Consider the following 21,713-nt stretch of genomic DNA (forward strand, 5'->3'; position numbering starts at 1 on the left):
AATACAAATACAATTTTTTTATTGTCCCTTTCTTTTTATGCAAAAGGAAATACACATTTTTGTGCATTGTTTTTCAATTAATAATATATTTTGAATATCTTTCTGTATTAGTACATAGAGACCATCTCTCTTTTTATTTTTTGTTTTTTTACAGCTGCATAGAACTCCATTATATGGATATACTATAATTTATTTAGCCAGGCCCGTGTCAATTGACATTTAGGTTATTTCTAGTGAACTATCTGTGCATATGTCACTGTGTATCCCTGTAAGATTATCTTTAGGATAATTTCCCCACAGTGGAATTGCCAAATCAAATTATATATATATATTTGTAATTTTGATAGATATTGCCACATTTGCCTCCATAGAGGTTGTATCAATACACATACCCGCCAGCAATAATTCCTCACAGGCTTACTAATGGCATGTGTCATCAAACTTTAGGAGTTTTCCATTCTGTTAGATAGTATAGCAGTGCAGTTTTAATATGTATTTCTCTTATTTTGAGTGAGGTTAAGGGTCTTTTTATATATTTCACTGTCTGGTCATTTTTTTTAGGGCTAAGTCTTAAAACAAGTATTTTCTTCATAAATAGAACTGCTAGTACAGTGCCATACTTAGAATTCAGTGAAAACTTGGTTGAACCAGATTTAGCAGTTCTTCACTTTCTGGCATAACAATATGTTCCAGGATCAACTTGTACCTACCTTGCCCCAGCTCTGGAATGAGCCATTTCTCTGAGGAGCACTGGTTTTTCTTAAGGGGCAACTATATTTTAGATCAAGAGCTGGCACTAGGTACGCTCCTTGCTACTGGAGTGTATTTTCTTGGCACCTTAATTGCATGGAGCTAGGAAATATGCATGTCTATACACATAGACACATATATAAACACATACATATTCATATACATGTGAAACATGCATATACATGTTAAATGTACATATTTTAGAAATGCTGAGTTCACACAGATAGTGCTAATTCCCATTCATCTCTAGCAATTTCTTTCTTGCCTTTCACCCTTCCATATTTGTATATTCCTTCTTCCTAAATGAGAGCTGATTTCCAACAACTTCAACAATGTACCCATTTTGCTCAATTCTAGAAGGGCTCGTATTGCGTTGTTTCTGGTGAGCTGTCTTGTATGTATATCCACTGTGTATCCATTACATGTGTCCACTATGTAATACAACTGAAACAATCCAGCATCACTTCACCCATTTCACTATAGTAAATTGTAACTTGTTTTTTAAACGTTAAAAAAATTGATATTTCCTTAAAAATACTTCATAATTAAAAGGAAATTTACCTAAATTAGATTTTTATTGTTTCATAAGTGATCCATTGGAGCAATATACAAGGAATTCTTTCATGTAAGCTTTAGAGCAATTATTTTTAGAAATTCTACTTAAACCTTTGATAAGGATACTATATTAGAGATTTATTAAAAGCAGGATATTTAGTAGTTTTAAGATAATTAAAAAGGGTTTGTTATTGTGCTGATAGTCAACTAGTTATTTAAGATATAACATTAAAATATGCATAAGGCCAGGCATGGTGGCTCATGCCTGTAACCCCAGCACTTTGAGAGGCTGAGTTGGGAGGATCACTTGAGGCCAGAAATTCAAGACCAGCCTGGGCAATATAGTGAGACCCTGTCTCTACCAAAAATTAAAAAAAAAGAAATTAGCCAGGCGTAGTGGTGCACACCTGTTGTCCTAGCTACTTAGGAAGCTGAGGTGGGAGGATTGCTTGAGCCCAGGAGGTCAAGGATGCAGTGATCCATGATTGCACCATTGCTCTCCAGCTTGGGTGACAGAGCAGGACCATGTCTCAAAAAAAAAATGAGAGAGAATTTTTAAAAATATACATGTTAAATTGCATTCCACTCTAGGTTCAAGGACACTACCTTTAACTAGAATAACATACGCAGTATTCATAAAGTAAATATAAGCCTTTATTCTAAAACTTTGGATTTCCTTATAAAATCCTATAGGAATAAATATGAAATCTTTTTCTTGTGTATAATTATTATGTTTCTAGCTTCTAGAAATTGATCATTTACAGTTTTCTTATTTTCTTTCAGATATAGGCATGGACCACCAAGCTCTTCTAAAACAATTTGATCACCTAAACCACCTGAATCCTGACAAGTTTGAATCCACAGATTTAGATATGCTAATCAAAGCGGTGAGAATAATTCCAAAAAGTTTTGTCTTTATTGTGCCTTTGAGGTTTTGTAATTTGACAAGTAAACCCAATGAAATGGAAATATAACTTTTATATATTCTGTAGAAGTTCTTTAAAGGAAGGTAGCTTAACCCTTATTAATACAGATATTAATATGTACATACAGGTCTAAAATCCCTTATCCACAATTCCTAAATCCAAAAGCTGTAAAAACTGAAACCTGGCCTGAATGAACCAATTATAGTAAAACCATTTACAGTTTTTATTTAACCTACTTAGTGTGAATATTTATAGATTTTGCTTAAGAAATACTAGTCTGTTTGATTACAGATGCTACAGGGATATTCCATAATATGGCATATGTACCATATTCCCTTTCTTTAAGGTAGAAAATTCTGAGCACATCTGGCCTCAGAGATTCCAGATAAGAGTTTGTGGACCTCTCACATTATGTGTGAATGGAACTAGTTCTAACCTGGCAGGTATTAGATTAGTTAAATGGTTAGAAGCCATTTTAGTTTTCTGTACTGTCTAGATTTGATAATAGTTCCTTTCTTCTTCTTTTTTTTTTTTAAATCAACTTACATATTACTTGCTTATGAGGAGTTTCCTAAAGTTGGGGCTAGCTTTGAACTTTTAGTTTCTTTGAATACTCTCTGGTAATAATGATGACTAAAATTGCTGGGCATGGTGGCTCATGCCTGTAATCCCAGCACTTTGGGAGGCCAAGGAGGGTGGATCACCCAAGGTCAGCAGTTCAAGACCAGCCTGGCCAACATGGTGAAACCCTGTCTGTACTTAAAATACAAATATTAGCCGGGAGTGGTGGTGAGCGCCTGTAATCCCAGCTACTCGAGAGGCCTCAGGAGGCTGAGGTGGGATAATCGCTTGAACCAAGAGGTGGAGGTGGCAGTGAGCCGAAATCGTGCCACTGCACTCCAGCCTGGGTGACGGGTGAAACTCCGTCTCAAAAAAAAAGAAGAAAAAACTTGACTAAAATGAAATGGTAGAATTTAAAAAGAGGAGTCCAGTATGTTTTTGCCCTCCCGTACCACTTCTGTTCAAGAGTATGCTATATTCAAGAATGGCTTTATTTACATTTTTCAAGTGAATGTTTTTATTTAACTTAAATGCATTATTGCATTTCAGGCAACAAGTGATCTGGAACACTATGACAAGACTCGTCATGAAGAATTTAAAAAATATGAAATGATGAAGGAACATGAAAGGAGAGAATATTTAAAAACATTGAATGAAGAAAAGAGAAAAGAAGAAGAGTCTAAATTTGAAGAAATGAAGAAAAAGCATGAAAATCACCCTAAAGTTAATCACCCAGTAAGGATTGTGACTTTATGAAACCATTTTTAGATAAAGATACTTCTTCGTATCAGCGGATTTTTATTGTGTTATTAGTACTTAAATCTTGATTCTTCTGCCAAGTTCCTCAAATTTATATTTTGAGTCTGTACAGATAGATTATATTTTGTTTTGAGCAATTTTTTAAAATTGGTTCACAGGGAAGCAAAGATCAACTAAAAGAGGTATGGGAAGAGACTGATGGATTGGATCCTAATGACTTTGACCCCAAGACATTTTTCAAATTACATGGTAACGATTTGATACAAATATTAATATTTATATCTGCTGCTTGAAAAAGTATTTGCTTTCCTCTTAATTGATTTCTGCCAAGGTCTGCTATTGAGTTCTAGTGAGAGTAAATGGTTAGAGTTTTTCTAGGGTAATATGATAGTCTTTATTGCTCACCTGCAGTATAAAATGTTTTAGATTAGTAGCTCTGTCTTTATACTGGCTTTTACTGTTGAGTCATATGAATTACTGCAAAGTTCTCTGTTAAGTGAAAACTAAACTGTGACTAGCTAGGTTATATCTAATAGGCTTTATACTATAATATTACATTTTACTTCTACTCTCATAGAATATTGCTTTACTTTATATTTTTGGAAAAAAATGGTCAAGATACGCTTTCCTTACAAATGATTATGAATTACAAATAAATACAGCATATTTATCAGTTCAGCTGATCTAAAGCTTCATGACAAAGAATAAATGCTTTTCTGCAGTCTATTGATGCTTCACATCAGTACTACTTTTGTAAACCCTTTATAAATCATTGTATTTTAATTATTTTCTAAGTTATTAAAATCTATTTTTGCATTTGTAACTTTTAAACTTTAGATGTCAATAGTGATGGATTCCTGGATGAACAAGAATTAGAAGCCCTATTTACTAAAGAGGTAAAGGAGTTTATTAAGTATTCAGTGTTCTTGTTCTCTCTCTTTTTTTCCTGTTACTTTCTTTCCTTTCATGTTCATTTAAAATTTTTCTTTTTAGTTGGAGAAAGTATATGACCCTAAAAATGAAGAGGATGATATGGTAGAAATGGAAGAAGAAAGGCTTAGAATGAGGGAACATGTAATGAATGAGGTATGTTTTAAAAGTTTAAGATAATATGTTATTTCTATGTATTATTTAATTCTTGCAATAAATCTTTAAGATGGAAAATATACAGAATTTGTATTTAAATGGAGTTTGCGTTTTTGTTTTTGTTTTTTTTTTGAGACAGGGTCTTACTCTGTTGCCCAGGCTGGAGGCAGTGGTGCAATCATGGCTCCCTGCAGCCTCAACCTCCTGGGCTCAAGCAATCCTTTGGTCTCAGCCTCCTGAGACTGAGGAGGGACCACAAGCTGGAGCCACCATGCCTACCTAATATTTTTTTTTTTTTTTTGAGACGGAGTCTCACTCTGTCATCCAAGTTGGAGTGCAGTGGCGCGACCTCGGCTCACTGCAACCTCCGCCTCCCAGATTCAAGCAATTCTCTGCCTCAGCCTCCTGAGTAGCAGGGATTATAGGCACCCACCACCACACCTAGCTAATTTTTTTATTTTTAGTAGAGACAGGGTTTCAGCATGTTGGCCAGGCTGGTCTTGAACTCCTGACCTCAGGTGATCCATCCGCCTTGGCCTCCCAAAGTGCTGGGATTATAGATGGGATTACAGGCATGAGCCACTGGCCTTTTTTGTTTGTTTTTGAGACATAGTCTCACTCTGTCACCCAGGCTGGAGTGCAGTGGTGCGATCTTGGCTCGCTGCAACCTCTGCCTCCCGGGTTCAAGTGATTCTCTTGCCTCAGCCTCCTGAGTAGCTGGGATTACAGGCATGCACCACCACGCCTGGCTGATTTTTTTATTTTTAGTAGAGATGGGGTTTCACCATGTTTGCCAGGCTGGTCTTAAACTCCTGACCTCAAGTGATCCACCCACTTCGGCCTCCCAAAGTGCTGGCTGGGATTACAGGCATGAGCCGCCGCACCAGGCCGATTTTTATTTTTTTTAAGAGACAGCATGTCTTTGCTACGTTGCCCAGGCTGTCAGCTAACTTTTTAATTTTTGGAGACACAAGGTCTTGCTATGTTGCCCAGGCTGAAGTTTGCATTTTTGATCCAGATTATTATACTAGATGCCTTTAGTATGAATAAAATAATTTGTAACTACTTTAAAATATTCTAAAAGATAAAGATGCTACTGCATATCAGGTATAAAACTTTTTTTTTTGGGCTGGGCATGATAGCTCATGCCTATAATCCCAGCACTTTGGGAGGCCGTGGCAGGTGGATCTCTTGAGGTCAGAAGTTCGAGACCAGCCTGGCAAACATGGTGAAACCCTGTGTCTACTAAAAATACAAAGATTAGCTGGGTGTGGTAGTGCATACCTACAATCCCAGCTACTCGGGAGGCTGAGGCATGAGAATCGCTTGAACCCAGGCGGCAGAGTTTGCAGTGAGCCAAGATTACACCACTGTACTCCAGCCTGGGTGACACAGCAAGACTCCATCTCAAAACCAAACCAAAGCAAACCCTTTTTTCAGTACTGAAAAACAAAAACAACAACCTCTGGTTACTGCCTCATTTCTCTGTTTCTCTTCAAGGAGTTGTCTATTCTTCCTCTTCCTGTTAATTCTTCACTTTTCCTTTTCGCCTTAATCTGTGCTGATACAGTTGATGCCTCCCTCTTTCTCGAAATGCTTTCTTCACTTGGCTTTTAGGAAACCACCCCTCCTCAGTTTCCTCATACCTCACTCTCTCTTCTTTGCTGGCTCTTCCTCCTCTTTCCAAGTTCTACATGTTGCATTGCCCTGGGCCCATCCCTTGGCCGTGTTCTCCTTTCTCGCTTCGTTCTCTCCTTAAGTGATAGTGTGGAGCCCCATGTCTCTATATATGCTCTATATCTGCATGTATGCTGGTGAGTTCAACATTTTTATCTTCAGCTGTCTCCTTTCTCTGAGTTCTAGGGTTGTATCTGCTTGACAGTTCTCCTTGTGTTTAACTCACATCTTCTTCAAACCCAGATCTGTTCCTTCCTCAGCCTTTTTCATTTCAACAAATGAATCATAATTCATCTAGTTGCTCAGGCTAAGTCATCCTTAACTTCTTTCCTCACATCCTGCATTTCCTCTATAAGTTCTGTCTGATCTATCTTTCAAACAGATCCAGAATTTGACCACTTCCCCCCACTTCCACTACTATTTAATACCAATCAAGTCCAAGCAAGTCTCCTAACTGGCATCTCTGCTTCTATTCCTTACCCCACTGCAGACACTTCTTCATAAGTAGGCAGAGTAAGCTCTTAAAAGCATAAATCAGGTCATGTGCTCTCTTGCACAGAAATACTTCAGTGGCTTGCAATTTCCCTTGTAATATGATCCCAAATCCCTCCTATTTCCAAAAGATTCGTGACTTCATCCTTGCCTTGCTCTCTGTGACTCTCTCTCCTCTGGCCTTCTGATGTTTACCTCTCATCAAGCTTGTTCCCATTTTAGGGCATTTGGACTTAATATTTCTTTTTTCTGGAATACCCCTTTTCTAGATCATCACAAGGTTTTACTTCCACCGAGTCTGTGCTCAAATGTCCATGGTCCATCCAATGACTACGCTCATTTAAATATTTGCCTTTCTCTGCAGTTCTTGCTCTGCCTCTCCTCCCTTTAAGCCAAAAACTCTGATATAGGCATCATATGCAGGGTAACTGAATCCCACTATTTTGCTTCAGTAACTTTCATCTGAATTTTTGAGTGGTAAATGCTAAATTGGGGTCTCTGTTGACTGCTGACATCCCAACTATCAAGTGAATTTCTTTGACCATTATAGATTACACCTTTGTAACGAAATTTGCCACAGCCTGTAACAGCTGTACAAGAGGATTTGGAGAGGTTGTCAGCTTTAGTTTTGATTTTGGTAATTGTGTTTTTTTAAGAAAAAATGTTGAGAGCATTTTAATTTAACCTCCTTTACTCTTGGCTAAAACCGTCCTCTTTCTGGAATGGTTCTTTTTCTTACCCAAGAACTTGGCTTCAAGAGGGATTATACATATTATGGTAAAGGAGGAAGACAGTAACAGTCACCTAACCACTCAGATCAGCTGACTGAAACTTAATGGTTTTGTGGGCATTAGGTATATAGATATCTCATATTTTCCAATTTGAATTATATAGAAGAGAAAGATGTTTATTTTGTAATTCTAGTATAATGTTGAGTGCTCTGTTTTTTATTTTTTTCCTCCAGTTTCTGTGGAAGTTAAGTGAGTCCTAATTGCTGTATGTTTATGTAGTGGCATCTATTACAAGACAGTTGATAGTGTCTAAATAATATGAGAAAGATTTACTTTATATTATGTATACATTTTGTTTTAATCAGGTTGATACTAACAAAGACAGATTGGTGACTCTGGAGGAGTTTTTGAAAGCCACAGAAAAAAAAGAATTCTTGGAGCCAGATAGCTGGGAGGTAATAGAACCTACTCTAAATGAGATGTATGGTTCAACAAATTCTACATCAGTCTATTCTACTTTTAACTTTTATTCCCCATTATGTTTGCATGTATAGTCTTACTATCTTGGGATTTTTATATAAATGTCAGTATAAAATAATGAACTTCATTTCTTGGAAAGCTTGTAGCAATTTATTTCTTGTTTATAATCATACTGCATAAAATTGGAAGTCTTTTAAAAATTATACTTTTTTCAAAGTATAAAATAGGATTCGTTATTGAAAATTAGAAATATAGATATATTGAAAGAATAAATTAGAATTCACCTATAATTTTACTAATCAGAGGTAGATTCTTGAGTTATGCATCGTACTGTGTTAATTTGGAATGGTATGCAGTTTGTATATATAGTATATGCACATATACAGTATGTAAACAATGTATTGTCTCATTTTAAATTCACACATATACATATATTCATATTTATGTGTTTTTTGTTGTTGTTTGTTTGTTTTTTGTTTTTTTGTTTTTTGAGACAGAGTCTTGCTCTGTTGCCCAGGCTGGAGTGCAGTAGCGCGACCTTGGCTCACTGCAACCTCCGCCTCCCAGATTCAAGCAATTCTCTGCCTCAGCCTCCTGAGTAGCTGGGATTACAGGTGCCCGCCACCACGCCCGGCTAATTTTTGTATTTTTAGTAGAGATGGGGTTTCACCATCTTGGCCAGGCTGGTCTTGAACTCCTGACCTCGTGATTCACCCACCTCAGCCTCCCAAAGTACTGGGATTACAGGCATAAGCCACCGCATCAGGCCAGTCATATTTATGTATTTTTTAAAATGGCTTCATACTGTATAAATGACTTTGTATGTTGATGAAATACTTTTTAAAAATTTAACAATATTTCACAAACATCTTTTAATATCATTCTTCAAAAACATGATTTTTAAAATGACTACCCAATATGCAGTTATATGGCTGTAGCATAATTTATATATCCATTTCTCCAAATTTAGACCTTTTGGGTAAATTCCAGTATTTTACTGTAATGACACTATGATGACTATCTGTTTCTTCACACATTTTTGGGCAATCTATAATGATTTCCCTGGGATTAACTCCCAGGAATAGAACTATTCTTAAGATTTATGAAAAATTTTTTAAATTTCTCAGTATATCTTGGCAAACTGCTCGAGAAAAGTATATCAACTTGTAACACAGTCAACTGTGTATAAATGAATGCATAGACAACTTGAAAAGAATAGTTGAGAGGCACCAACCAAAATGGATGGAAGAAAGAACATAGTCTTTTTCTACATAAAAACTGAAAATATTACTATTTAAATTAAAATTTTAATTGTCCAGAAAATAGTTTAAGAAAGGGTGAACAGCTACTCTAGTTTACCCAGGACTGAGGAATTTCCAAGGATGTGGAACTTTTCATTGCTAAAGCCAGACATTTCTGGGCAAATTGGGACAGTTGGCCCCTTTAGTTTGACATCAGAAAAGTCAGCCTCTTTTTGTATTGGGTTTTTGTCTAACGTTTGAAATGTTTCTTGACTTTGGTGAAGAAGAAGAATGCTAAGATTATTTGAATCTACATTCCCTTTAGTGCATCTGGTAGACTAGAAGATCAATAGATAATTATATACTTTTAAAATTTTGACATAATTTCAGATTTACAAGAGTTGCAGGAATAGACAGGAAATCCCTGAATACATTTCAACCAGGTTTAACTACATTTGCTTTATCTTTCTCTCTTTCCCTCCTCTCTATTTTTAATCTCTATGTGTGTGTATGTATAACATATAATTATGTTGTAATGTATATACTTATGTATATGTTATGTATATATATAAACATGTATATGTGTACATATATATAAAGTTTTGAATTGCTTAAGAGTAAATTACACATCATGCCACTTTAATCTAAAATACTTGAGTGTATATTTCTTGCAAACAAAGATTTACCTTATGTAATCATAGTAAAATTATCAATACTACACACATGGTACTCTTCTCCAATCTCTAGACTTAGTGAGATTTTGTCAATTTTCCCAATAATATCCTTTATAACAAAAGAAAATCCAAGATGATACATTGAATTCAGTTGTAATGTCTTTTTAGTCTCCTTCCATCTGAAACAATCAAGAGGACAGACTATTATGTTGTACAATGTCCCTTGAATACCACAGAAGAGATGCTCAGTGTATCCTATTAGAAGGCACATGTTGACGATCCCCATAACTGGTAATGGTAGCTTTGATCATTTTGTTAAGGTGGTGTCTACCAGATTTTTTTATGTAACGTTATTATTTTACCTTTCACATTTTAAAAAGTATCTCGTCTAGCCCACCATAGTGAGAGAATCAGAAGTCAGTTTTTGTTTTTTTATTTTATAAATACAGACCAGGTCTCACTATATTGCCCAGGCTGGTCCCGAACTCCTGGGCTCAAGGAATCCTCCTGCCTCAGCCTCCCAAAATGTGTGAGCCACTGTGCCTGGAAAGAAGTCAGCTTTTTTTTTTTTTTTTTTTTTTAATAATTTTAGGAAAAATAAAGACAGAGTCTCTCTCTGTCACCCAGGCTGGAGTACACTGACGTGATCTTGGCTCACTGCAACCTCTGCCCCCATCCCCCTCAACCTGCCTGGGCTCAAGTGATTCTCCCACCTCAGCCTCCTGAGTAGCTGAGACCACAGGCATGCACCACCATGCCTGGATCTTTTTTTTGTGTTTTTAGTAGAGGCAGGATGTCGTCATGTTGACCAGGATGGTCTCAAACTCCTGAGCTCAAGCAATCTGCCTGCCTTGGCCTCCCAAAGTACTGGGATTACATATGTGAGTCACCGTGCCCAGACAGAAGTCAGCTTTAAAAAAAAAATACATTCAATATCATATCAAAAGTATTTTCACATAATATTTGTAAGCCTTATTTTAAAAGCTATGGAGGTATATAAACATTTTTTTAGGGTTTGACATTTAAATTATTTCATTTTTTACTGCTATTTTAAAAAGAAAATGCTGCTACAAATACATTTTTATATAAAGCTTTGTACGTGATTAGGGTTGTTTTATAGGGTAGATTCTCAATGTAGCATTACCAGGACCCAGGGAATATTTTTAAGGCTATTTTTAAGGCTTGAACATCCTGATATACTGAAAGTAAGGAAGTCCCTAAAGAATGATCCAGATATGTCACAAAGACACAAAAGCCAGTTTGAAGAAACTCTCACTGGCCAAATCTGGGACAATTTGAACGTGGAAATAATGATGATAAGGATTAGAGCTTATTGAATAAAACAAGAAGCCACGAGTCTACACTGATATAAGTAGAGGGAGAGAGAAGGCCGAATTCTTTTGCAAAATTGCTTTTCAAAAGACTTACGCCATTTATATTTCCACCATTAAAAACGTGTGCACTCTTTAAACATATCAGAGCTGGGCACGGTGGTGCCTACCTGTAGGCCCAGCTACTTAGGAGGCAGGAGGACCACTTGAGCCCAGGAGTTTGAGACCAGTCTGGGCAATGTAATGAGACCCTGTCTCTAAAAAGAAAAAAAAAATTTTTTTAAAATACTTTGAGAATATGTGAATGTATTATTGTTGATGTCCATTGATGATTCTAGCTAGAATTATTACTGTGATGGTTGACAAATGGAGATTTTCTAACCTGATCATCCCTTCTACATTTGTTAGTTGGCTTTCTACTGTAATGAAAAACTATTCCTTCCCCTCGACCTTCTACTTATATCAGTGTAGACTCATGGCTTCTTTTATTCAATAAGCTCTAATCTTTACCATCATTATTTCCATACTCAAATTGTCCCAGACTTGGCCAGTGAGAGTTTCTTCAGACTGGCTTTTGTGTCCTTCTGACATGTCCGAATGATTCTTTGGGGACTTCCTTACTTTTAGTATATCAGGATGTTCAAGGCTTACCTTATTCTTTCCCTGACCCAACCCAGAATGACCCATTTTTCTGAGAAGCCCTGCAGACCAAGATCTGGGCCCTGGATGTTCCCCTTGCTACTGTAGTGTCATTGCTTCCAAGGTCTTGTCAGATGACAGAGCAGGGGAATTAAAAGAATATGTATATAATATGGATGTGTATATGTACATATGTACACACATACATGCACACATACACACATATACCCACCTATATACATTAATATTCATTTCTACATATCTATCAATATATATTAAAACTCATGAATTTACACTGATATCTCCAGTTGCAATCCAACAACTCTTGATTTCCTTTTTTTCATTTTAATTTTTTGAAGTTCAGGGGTACATGTGCAGGTTTATTATATAGTTTATATATATATAAACTTGTGTCATGGGGTTTTGTTTTACAGATTATTTTATTACCCAGGTATTAAGCCCTCATACCCATTAGTTATTTTTCCTGATCCTTCTCCTCCTCCTGCCCTCTATCCTCCTATAGGCCCCAGTGTGTGTTGTTCCTCACTATGTGTCCATGTGTTCTCATCATTTACCTCCCACTTATAAGTGAGAACATGCAGTATTTGGTTTTCTGTTTCTGCATTAGTTTGCTAGAGATACTGTCCTCCAGCTTCATCCATGCTCCTGCAGGGGACATGATCTCGTTCTTTTTTTATGGCTGCATAGTATTCCATGGTGTATATGTACCACATTTCTTTATCTACTCACTTACTTTGGGCATTTAGGTTGATTCTATGTCTTTGCTATTGTGAATAGTGCTGCAATGAACATATGTGCCACAACTTTGATTTCAACTTAGCATTCTATCTTTTGCCATATTTCATGCAAAACCTAACTCCCTTTTCCTTAAAAATATTTCATTTATTCACTCAATCCTAGAATGTACAAGAAGTTTCAGAATACTAATCCATGCCTCTGTAAAATAAGAGTTTAAATTTTGTTTAGATTTTGTTGTTGTTGGGGCCAGTGCAGTAGCTCATGCCTGTAATCTCAGCACTTTGGGAGGCCGAGGTGGGCGGATCACCTGATATCAGACCTGGCCAACATGGTGAAACCTTGTCTCTATTAAAAATACAAAAATTAGCCGGGAGTGGTGGTGCACTCCTGTAATCCCAGCTGCTCGGGAGGCTGAGGCAGGAGAATCACTTGAACCTGGGAGATGGAGGTTGCAGTGAGTCGAGATTGCACCCCAGCACTCCAGCCTGGATGACAGAGCAAGACTCCGTCTCAAAAAACTAAAAAAGATTTTATTGTTATTTTTAAGGTGAGGGCATATTGTACAAATACTATGATCAAAAATTACTTGGGTTAGTTCATTTTTTTCCTCCCCGTTCTGTGGGTTATCTTACTCATTTAAAATAAAAGTACTATTTATTTACTTCTGTTTTTCTATTCAAGCTTTAGGATTTTCCTGTCTTGTGGATTTTAATTTTCTTGAGTATGTGAAACATTAACACATTTCCAGAAATTGAATCTGTACAAAGAAGGTGTATTCAGACAAGTTTTTTCTTTATTTTTTTTAATAAGTAAAATTTGTTGTGTGTGCATACATAGTATGTGTATATATTTATGGGGTACTTAGATATTTTGGTAGAGGCATGTGATGTGTAATAATCACATAATGGAAAATTGGGTATCCATCCCCTCAACTGTTTATCCTTTGTGTTACAAACAATCCAATTATACTCTTTTAGTTATTTTCAAATGTACAATTAAATTATTATTGACTATAGTCCCCCTGTTGTACTATGAAATACTGGGTTTTATTCATTCTATTTTTTTTTTTTTGGTACCCATTAACTATCCCCACCACTCCCCAACTCCACACTTTTCCTAGCCTCTGGTAACCATCCTTCTATTCTTTATCTCCATGAGTTCAATTGTTTTGATTTTTAGATCCCACAGATAAGTAGGAACATGTGATATTTGTCTTTCTGTGCCTGGCTTATTTCACTTAACATAATGACCTCCAGTTCCACCCATGGTGTTGCAAATGACAATCTCATTCTTTTTTTATGGCTGAAATAATACTCCATTGTGTATAAGTACCACATTTTCTTCATCCATTCATCTGTTGATGGATGCTTAGCTTGCTTCCAAATCTTAGCTATTGTGAACAGTACTACAACAAACATGGAAACACAGATATCTCTTTGATATACCAATTTCCTTTCTTTTGGGTTAAGATTGCATTAAGATTGCTGGGTCATATGTTAACTCTATTTTTAATTTTTTGAGGAACTTCCACACTGTTCTCCATAGTGGTTGTATTAATTTACATGCCTACCAACAGTGTACGAGGGTTCTTTTTTTTTCACATCCTTGCCAACATTTGTTATTGCCTGTCTTTTGGATAAAAGCCATTTTAACTGGGGTGAGATGGTATCTCATTGTAGTTTTGTGTTTCTCTGATGATCAGTGATGTTGAGCACTTTTTCATATGCCTGTTTGCCATTTTATGTCTTCTTTCGAGAAATGTCTACTCAAATCTTTTGACCATTTTTGTCAGATTATTAGATAATTCCCTATAGAGTTGTTTGAACCCCTTATATATTCTAGTTATTAATCCCTTGTCAGATGCGTAGTTTGCAATTATTTTCTCTCATTCTGTGGGTTATCCCTTCACTTTGTTGATTTTTTGCTTTGCTCTGCAGAAGCTTTTTTACTTGATGTGATCTGATTTGTCTATTTTTGCTTTGGTTGTCTGTGCTTACGGATATTACTCAAGAATTTTTTGTCCAGGTCAATGTTCTGGAGAGTTTCCTCAATGTTTTCTTGTAGTAGTTTGATAGTTTGAGGTCTTAGAGTTAAGTCTTTAATCCATTTTGATTTGATTTTTGTATAAGGCAAGATGTAGGTATCAAGCTTCATTCTTCTGCATATGGATGTTCAGTTTTCCAGCACCATTTATTGAAGAGATTGTATTTTCCCCAATGTATGTTCTTGGCACCTTTTTCAAAAATGAGTTTACAGTAGGTGTGTGGATTTGTTTCTGGGTTCTCTATTCTGTTCCATTGGGCCTGTATGTCTGTTTTTATGCCAGTACGATTGTGTTTTGGTGACTATAGTTTTGTAGGATAATTTGAAGTCAAATGATGTGATTCCTTCAGCTTTGTTCTTTTTGCTTTGGTTATTCTAGGTCTTTTGTAGTTTCACATACATTTTAGGATTGTTTTATCTATTTCTGTGAAAAATGTCATTGGGTATTTTGATATGGACTGCACTGAATTTGTAGACTGCTTTGGGGAGTATGGAGATTTTCACAACACAGATTATTTCAATCCTTGAACATAGAATATCTTTCCATTTTTTGATGTCCTCTTCAATTTCTTTCATCTGTGTTTTATAGTTTTCATTATAGAGATCTTAACTTCTTTGGTTAATTCCTAGGTATTTAATTTTATTTGTGGCTATTATAAATGGGATTACTTTTTAAATTTCTTTTTCAGATTGCTTATTGTTGGCATATAGAAATGCTGCTGATTTTTGTATGTTGATTTTGTATCCTGCAAATTTACTAAATTTATCGGTTCTAATAGTTTTTTTTTTGTGTGGAGTCTTTAGGTTTTTCCCAAATATAAGATTATATCATCTGCAAACAAGGATAGTTTGACTTCTTCCATTCCAGTTTGGATGCCCTTTATATCTTTCTCTTGTCTTATTGATCTAGCTGGGACTTCCAGTACTACATTGAATAACAGTGGTGAAAGCGAGCATCCTTGTTGTGTTCCAGATCTAAGAGGAAACACTTTCAGTTTTTCCCATTCGGTATGATATTAGCTGTGGGTCTGTCATATATGCCTTTTATTATATCAAGGTATGTTCCTTCTATACCCATTTTTTGAGGGTTTTCATCATGAAGGGATGTTGAATTTTTTCAAATTCTTTTTCAGCATCAGTTGAAATGATCATATGGTTTTTGTTTTTCATTCTGTTGATATATCATATTGATTTGTGTATGTTGACCCATCCTTGCATCACAGGGATAAATCCCAGTTGGCCGTGATGTATGATCTTTTTAATGTATTGTTGAACTCAGTTTGCTATTATTTTGTTGAGTATTTTTGCATTAATATCCACCAGAGCTATTGGCTTGTAATTTTCTTTTTTCGATGTGACTTTGTCTGGTTTTGGTATCAGGGTAGTACGAGCCTTGTCAAATGAGTTTGGAAGTATTCCTTCCTCCTTTAGTTTTTGGAATAGTTTGAGTAGGATTGGCATCAGTTTTTCTTTAAAGGGTTGGTAGAATTCAGCAGTGAAGCCATTGGGTCCTGGGCATTTTTTTGCTGGGTGACTTTTTTTTATGGCCTTGATTTCATTACTTGTTACTGGTCTGTTCAGGTTTTGGATTTCTTCCGAATTCAATCTTGGTAGTTTGTATGTGTCTAGGAATTTGTCCATTTCTTGTAGATTTTCCAATTTATTGGCATATAGTTGCTCATAGTAGCCATTAAGGATCCATTGAATTTCTGCAGTACCAGTTGTAATGTCTCCTTTTTCATCTCTGATTTCATTTATTTGGGTTTTCTCTCTTTGTCTCTTAGTATGGCTAAAGGTTTGTCAATTTTGTTTAACTTCAAAAAACCAACTTTTTGTTTCATTGATCTTTTGTATCATTTCATATTCATTTATTTCTGCTCTGATCTTTATTTTTTCATCTTCTACTAATTTTGGATTCAGTTTGCTCTTGCTTTTCCAGTTAAGATGCACTATTAGGTTATTTATTTTGAGATTTTTCTTTTTTGATATAGACAGTTATAACTATAATTTTCCCTCTTAGTACTACATTTGCTTTATCCCACAGGTTTTGGTATGTTGTATTTCCATTATCATTTGTTTCAAGAAATGTTTCAATTTCCTTCTTAATTTTTTCATTGACCCACTGGTTATTCAGGAGCATATTGTTTAATTTCCATGTGTTTGTATAGTTTCAAAAATTCCTCTTATTATCGATTTGTAGTTTTATTCCATTGTGGTCAGAGAAGATGCTTGCTATTATTTCTATTTTTTGAATTTTTTTTTTTGAGACAAAGTCTTGTTCTGTTGCCCAGGCTAGAGGGCAGTGGCACTATGTCAGCTCACTGCAACCTTCGCCTCTCAGGTCCAAGCAGTTCTTGTGCCTCAGCCTCCCAAGTAGCTGGAATTACAGGTGCATGCCACCACGCCCAGCTAACTTCTGTATTTTTAGTAGAGATGGGGTTTCACCATGTTGGCCAGGCTAGTCTTGATCTCCCAACCTCAAGTGATCCGCCCACCTTGGCTTCCCAAAGTGCTGGGATTACTGGCATGAGCCACCATGCTCAGCCAAATGTTATAAGACTTGTTTTGTGACCTAGCATATTGTCTATTTGTCTATTTATTTATTTATTTATTTATTTATTTATTTATTTTTGAGACAGAGCCTCACTCTGTTGCCCTGGCTAGAGTGCAGTGGCGCGATCTTGGCTCACTGCAACCTCCGCCTCCTGGGTTCAAGCGATTCTCCTGCCTCAGCCTCCTGAGTAGCTGGGATTACAGATGTGTGCCACAACGCCCGGCTAATTTTTGTATCTTTTTAGTAGAGATGGGGTTTACCATATTGGCCAGGCTGGTCTTGAACTCCTGACTTCAAGTTATCCACCCACTTCAGCCTTCCAAAGTGCTAGGATTACAGGCTTGGGCCACCGTGCCTGGCCTATATTGTCTATCTTTGAGAACGATCCATGTGCTAAGGAGAAAAATGTGTACTCTATAGCTGTTGGATGAAATACTTGTTAAGTATCTATTAGATCCATTTGATCTATAGTGTAGATTATGTCCAATGTTACTTTGTTGATTTTCTGTCTGGGAGATCTGTCTAATGCTGAAAGTGGGGTGTTGAAATCTTCAGCTATTATTGTATTGAGGCCTGTCTTTGTCTTTAGCTCTAATAATATTTGCTTAATATATCTGGGTGCTCTAGTGTTGGGTGCATATCTGTTTACAGTCATTCTATCTTCTTGCTGAATGGACCCATTTATCATTTTCTTTGTCTCTTCTTAGTTTTTGTCTTGACCTCTGTTTTGTCTGATGTAAGTACTGCTCCTGCTACTGCTCTTTTTTGGTTTCCATTGGCAGGGAATATCTTTTTCCATCTCTTTATTTTCAGTCTGTATATCTTTATAGGTGAAGTGTGTTTCTTTTAGGCAACAGATCATTGGGTCTTGTTTTTTCATCTATTCAGATGCTCTATGTCTTGATTGAAAAGTTTAGTTGATTTACTTTCAAAGTTATTATTATTGATAAGTAGGGACTTACTCCTGCCATTTTGTTATTTTTCTGGATGTTTTGCTGTCTTCTTTTTCTTCCTTCCTGTCTTCCTTTTAGTGAAGCTAATTTTCTCTGGTGGCATGCTCTAATTTCTTGCTTTTTTTGTGTGTGTATCAATTGTATGTTTTTAGATTTGAGGTTACCATGAGGCCTGCAAATAATATTTTATAACCCATTATTTTAAATTGATGACAACACTGATTGCATAAACAAACATGCAAAAAGAAAATAAATACTTTACACTTTAACTTCATCCCCCTGCTTTTTAACTTTTTGTTGTTACTTTTTCTTTTTTTTTTTTCGAGACAGTGTTTCACTCTTGTTGCTCAGGCTGGAGTGCAATGGCAAGATCTCGGCTCACCACAACCTCCACTTCCTGGGTTCAAGTGATTCTCATGCCTCAGCCTCCCAAATAGCTGGGATTATAGTCATGCACCACCATGCCCAGCTAATTTTGTATTTATAATAGAGACAGGATTTCTCCATGTTGGTCAGGCTGGTCTCGAACTCCCAACCTAAGGTGATCTGCCTGCCTCAGCCTCCCAAAGTGCTGGGATTACAGGCGTGAGCCTCTGTGCCTGGCCTCATTGTTACCGTTTTTTTTTTTTTTTTTTTTTTTGAGATGGAGTTTTGCTCTTGTTGCCCAGGCTGGAGTGTAATGGTGCAATCTCAGCTCACCGCAACCTCTGCCTCCTGGGTTCAAGCGATTCTCCTGCCTCCCCCTCCCGAGTAGCTGGGATTACAGGCATGTGCCACCACACGCGGCTAATTTTTTGTATTTTTAATAGAGACAGGGTTTCTCCATGTTGGTCAGGCTGGTCTCGAACTCCCAGCCTCAAGTGATCTGCCTACCTCGGCCTCCCAAAGTGCTGGGATTACAGGCATGAGCCACCGCACCTGGCTGTACTTTTTATATCTTATTTTATTGCCTGCCTTGAAAAGTTGTAGTTATTATTTTATTTATTTTTAGTTATTTTTGATCGGTTCCTCGTTTGGTCTTTTACTTAAGTCAAGAGAAGTTTATATACGACAATTACAGTGTTATACTATTCTGTGTTTTTCTGGGTGCTTACTGTTAACAGTGACTTTTGTACCTTCAGATGATTTCTTTGTTCTCATTAACATCCTTTTATTTCAGATTGAAGAACTACCTTTCACATTTCTTATAGGACAAGTCTGGTGTTGATGCAATCCCTCAGTTTTTGTTTATCTGAGAAGGTCTTTATTTCTCCTTCATGCTTAAAGGATATTTTCAGTGAATATACTATTCCAGGGTAAAAAATTTTTTTTCCTGTCAGTACTGCAAATATTTCATATCAGTCTCTCTTGGCCTATAAGATTTCCACTGAAAAATCTGCCACCTGAGACAGAGTCTTGCTCTGTTACCCAGACTGGAGTGCAGTGGCGTGATCTTGGCTCACTGCAACTTCTGCTTCTCAGGTTCAAGTGATTCTTGTGGTTTAGGCTCCCGAGCAGCTGGGATTACAGGTGTGTGCCATCACATCTGGCTGATTTTTATATTTTTAGGTGAGATGAGGTTTTTCCACGTTGGCCAGGCTGGTCTTGAAATCCTGGTCTCAAGTGATCTGCCCACCTCTGCCTCCCAAAGTGCTGAGATTACAGGTGTGAGCCACTACGCCTCGCCAGGATCCTTTCTTTGTACTTGACCTTTGGTAGTTTGATTATTAAATGCCATGAGGTAGTCTGACGTGAGTTAAATCTGCTTGGTGTTCTATAACCTTTTTGCACTTGAATGTTGAAATATTTTTGATATTATTCCTTTGAATAAACTTTCTACCCTTATCTCTTTCTCTGCCTCCTCTTTAAGGCCAATAAAACTCCTATATTTGCCGTTTTGAGGCTGTTTTCTAGATCTTGTAAGCATGCTTTCATTGTTTTTCATTCTCTCTCCTTTGTGTCCTCTGTATTTTCAAATAGCCTGTCTTCAAGCTCAGTAATTCTTTCTTATACTTGATCAGTTCTGCTATTAAGAGACTCCGATGCATTCTTCAGCGTGTCCGTTCCATTTTTTTAACTCTAGAATTTCTGCTTGATTCTTTCTAATTATTTTGATCTCTTTGTTAAATTTATCTGATGGAATTCTGAATTCCTTCTCTGTGTTACCTTGAATTTCTTTGAGTTTCCTCAACACAGCTATTTTGAATTCTGTATCTGAAAGGTCATATATCTCTGGTTCTCCAGGATTGGAACCTGGTGCCTTATTTAATTCATTTGGTTAGGTCATGTTTTCTTGGGTGGTGGTGATGTGTGTAGATGTTTGTTGGTATCAGAGCATTGAAGAGTTAGATACTTACTGTAATCTTCACACTCTGGGTTTGTTTGTGCATGTCCTTCTTTGGAAAGCTTTCCAGGTATTCCACGGGACTTGGGCCCAAAGTCCAGTAATTCTGTGATTTTTGCAGACTCTTAAAAGTACCACCTTGGTGGTCTTGGATAAGATCCAGAAGAATTCTCTAGATTACCAGGCAGAGACTCTTGTTCTTTTCCCTTACTTTCTTCCAAACAAATGGTCTCTCTCTCTGTGCTGAGCCACCTGGAACTGGAGGTGTGGTGATGCAAGTACCTTTATGGCCATCACCACGGAACTGTGCTGGGTCAAGCCTGAAGCCAACATGGCACTGGGCCTTGCCCAAGGCCCTTTCCTTCATGGTGGCGAGTTCCCCCAGATCCTGGGTGTGTCCAGAGATGGTGTCTAGAAGCCAGGGAATGGAGTAAAAAACCCTAGCAATTTACCTGATGTTCAGTTTTACTGTGGCTAAGCTGACACTCAAATCACAATACAAAAGCCTTCCTGCTCTTCACTCCTCTTTCCACAGGCAGAGGACCCTCTCCCTGTGGCCATTACTACCACCATCTCTGGTCCACATGGGGTTCTGCCAGCCACTGCTGATATTTACTGAAAGCCCAAGGGCTTTTCTGTCACCTTGCGGTAAATGCTGCCAGGCCTTTACCCTTCAGGGAAGTGGGCTCCCCTCTGGCCCAAGGCGAGTCCAGAAATGCTGTCCAAGAGCCAAGGCCTGGACTCAGGGACTCCAAAAGACTGCTTGTTGGTCTACCCCATTGTGGCTGAGCTGGTACCTAGGGTGCAAGACAAAAATCGCCTTTACTTTCCCTCTGCTTTCCTCAAACAGGGGTCTCTCGCCATAGCCACTACAGCTGGGAATGTGCTGGGTCACCCCGAAGCCAGCATGTCTCAGTCCAAGACCCACAGCATACTCCATGGGTCTTGCCGCTGATTATTCAGGGCCCAGGGGCTCTTTACTTAGCAAGTGATGAAGCCTGCCAGGACTGCTCCCTTAAGGCAGCAGTTTCCTTTTGGGCCAGCAGGGTATGTCTAGAAATGTCACCTGGGAGCTAGGGCCTGGAATCAGGTCCTCACAACTCTGCCTGGTGTCCTATCCTACTATGGCTTAGCTGGTATCCAAGATGCAAAACAAAGCCCTCTTTACTTTTTCCTCTC

The 21,713-nt window shown here is 37.3% G+C and overlaps 1 protein-coding gene across 53 annotated transcripts in view; it reads left to right on the forward strand.

Annotated features, from left to right (window-relative positions):
• Nucleotides 1-21,713, forward strand: part of NUCB2 (nucleobindin 2) — a 73,242-nt gene that overhangs the window by 30,745 nt on the left and 20,784 nt on the right. For 34 of the 53 annotated variants that reach the window (XM_024448538.2, XM_024448540.2, XM_024448542.2 and 31 more), the window contains 6 exons: nt 2,089-2,192; nt 3,342-3,527; nt 3,710-3,800; nt 4,389-4,447; nt 4,545-4,637; nt 7,903-7,992. In XM_024448538.2, the coding sequence (XP_024304306.1) occupies nt 2,089-2,192; nt 3,342-3,527; nt 3,710-3,800; nt 4,389-4,447; nt 4,545-4,637; nt 7,903-7,992 (623 nt within the window). The remainder of the gene's footprint in view (nt 1-2,088; nt 2,193-3,341; nt 3,528-3,709; nt 3,801-4,388; nt 4,448-4,544; nt 4,638-7,902; nt 7,993-21,713) is intronic. The other 19 variants (XM_024448553.2, XM_047426990.1, XM_024448550.2 and 16 more) reach the window with 1 other exon arrangement.

The sequence above is a fragment of the Homo sapiens genome, chromosome 11 (genome assembly GCF_000001405.40).
Source record: "Homo sapiens chromosome 11, GRCh38.p14 Primary Assembly".
NCBI lineage: Eukaryota > Metazoa > Chordata > Mammalia > Primates > Hominidae > Homo > Homo sapiens.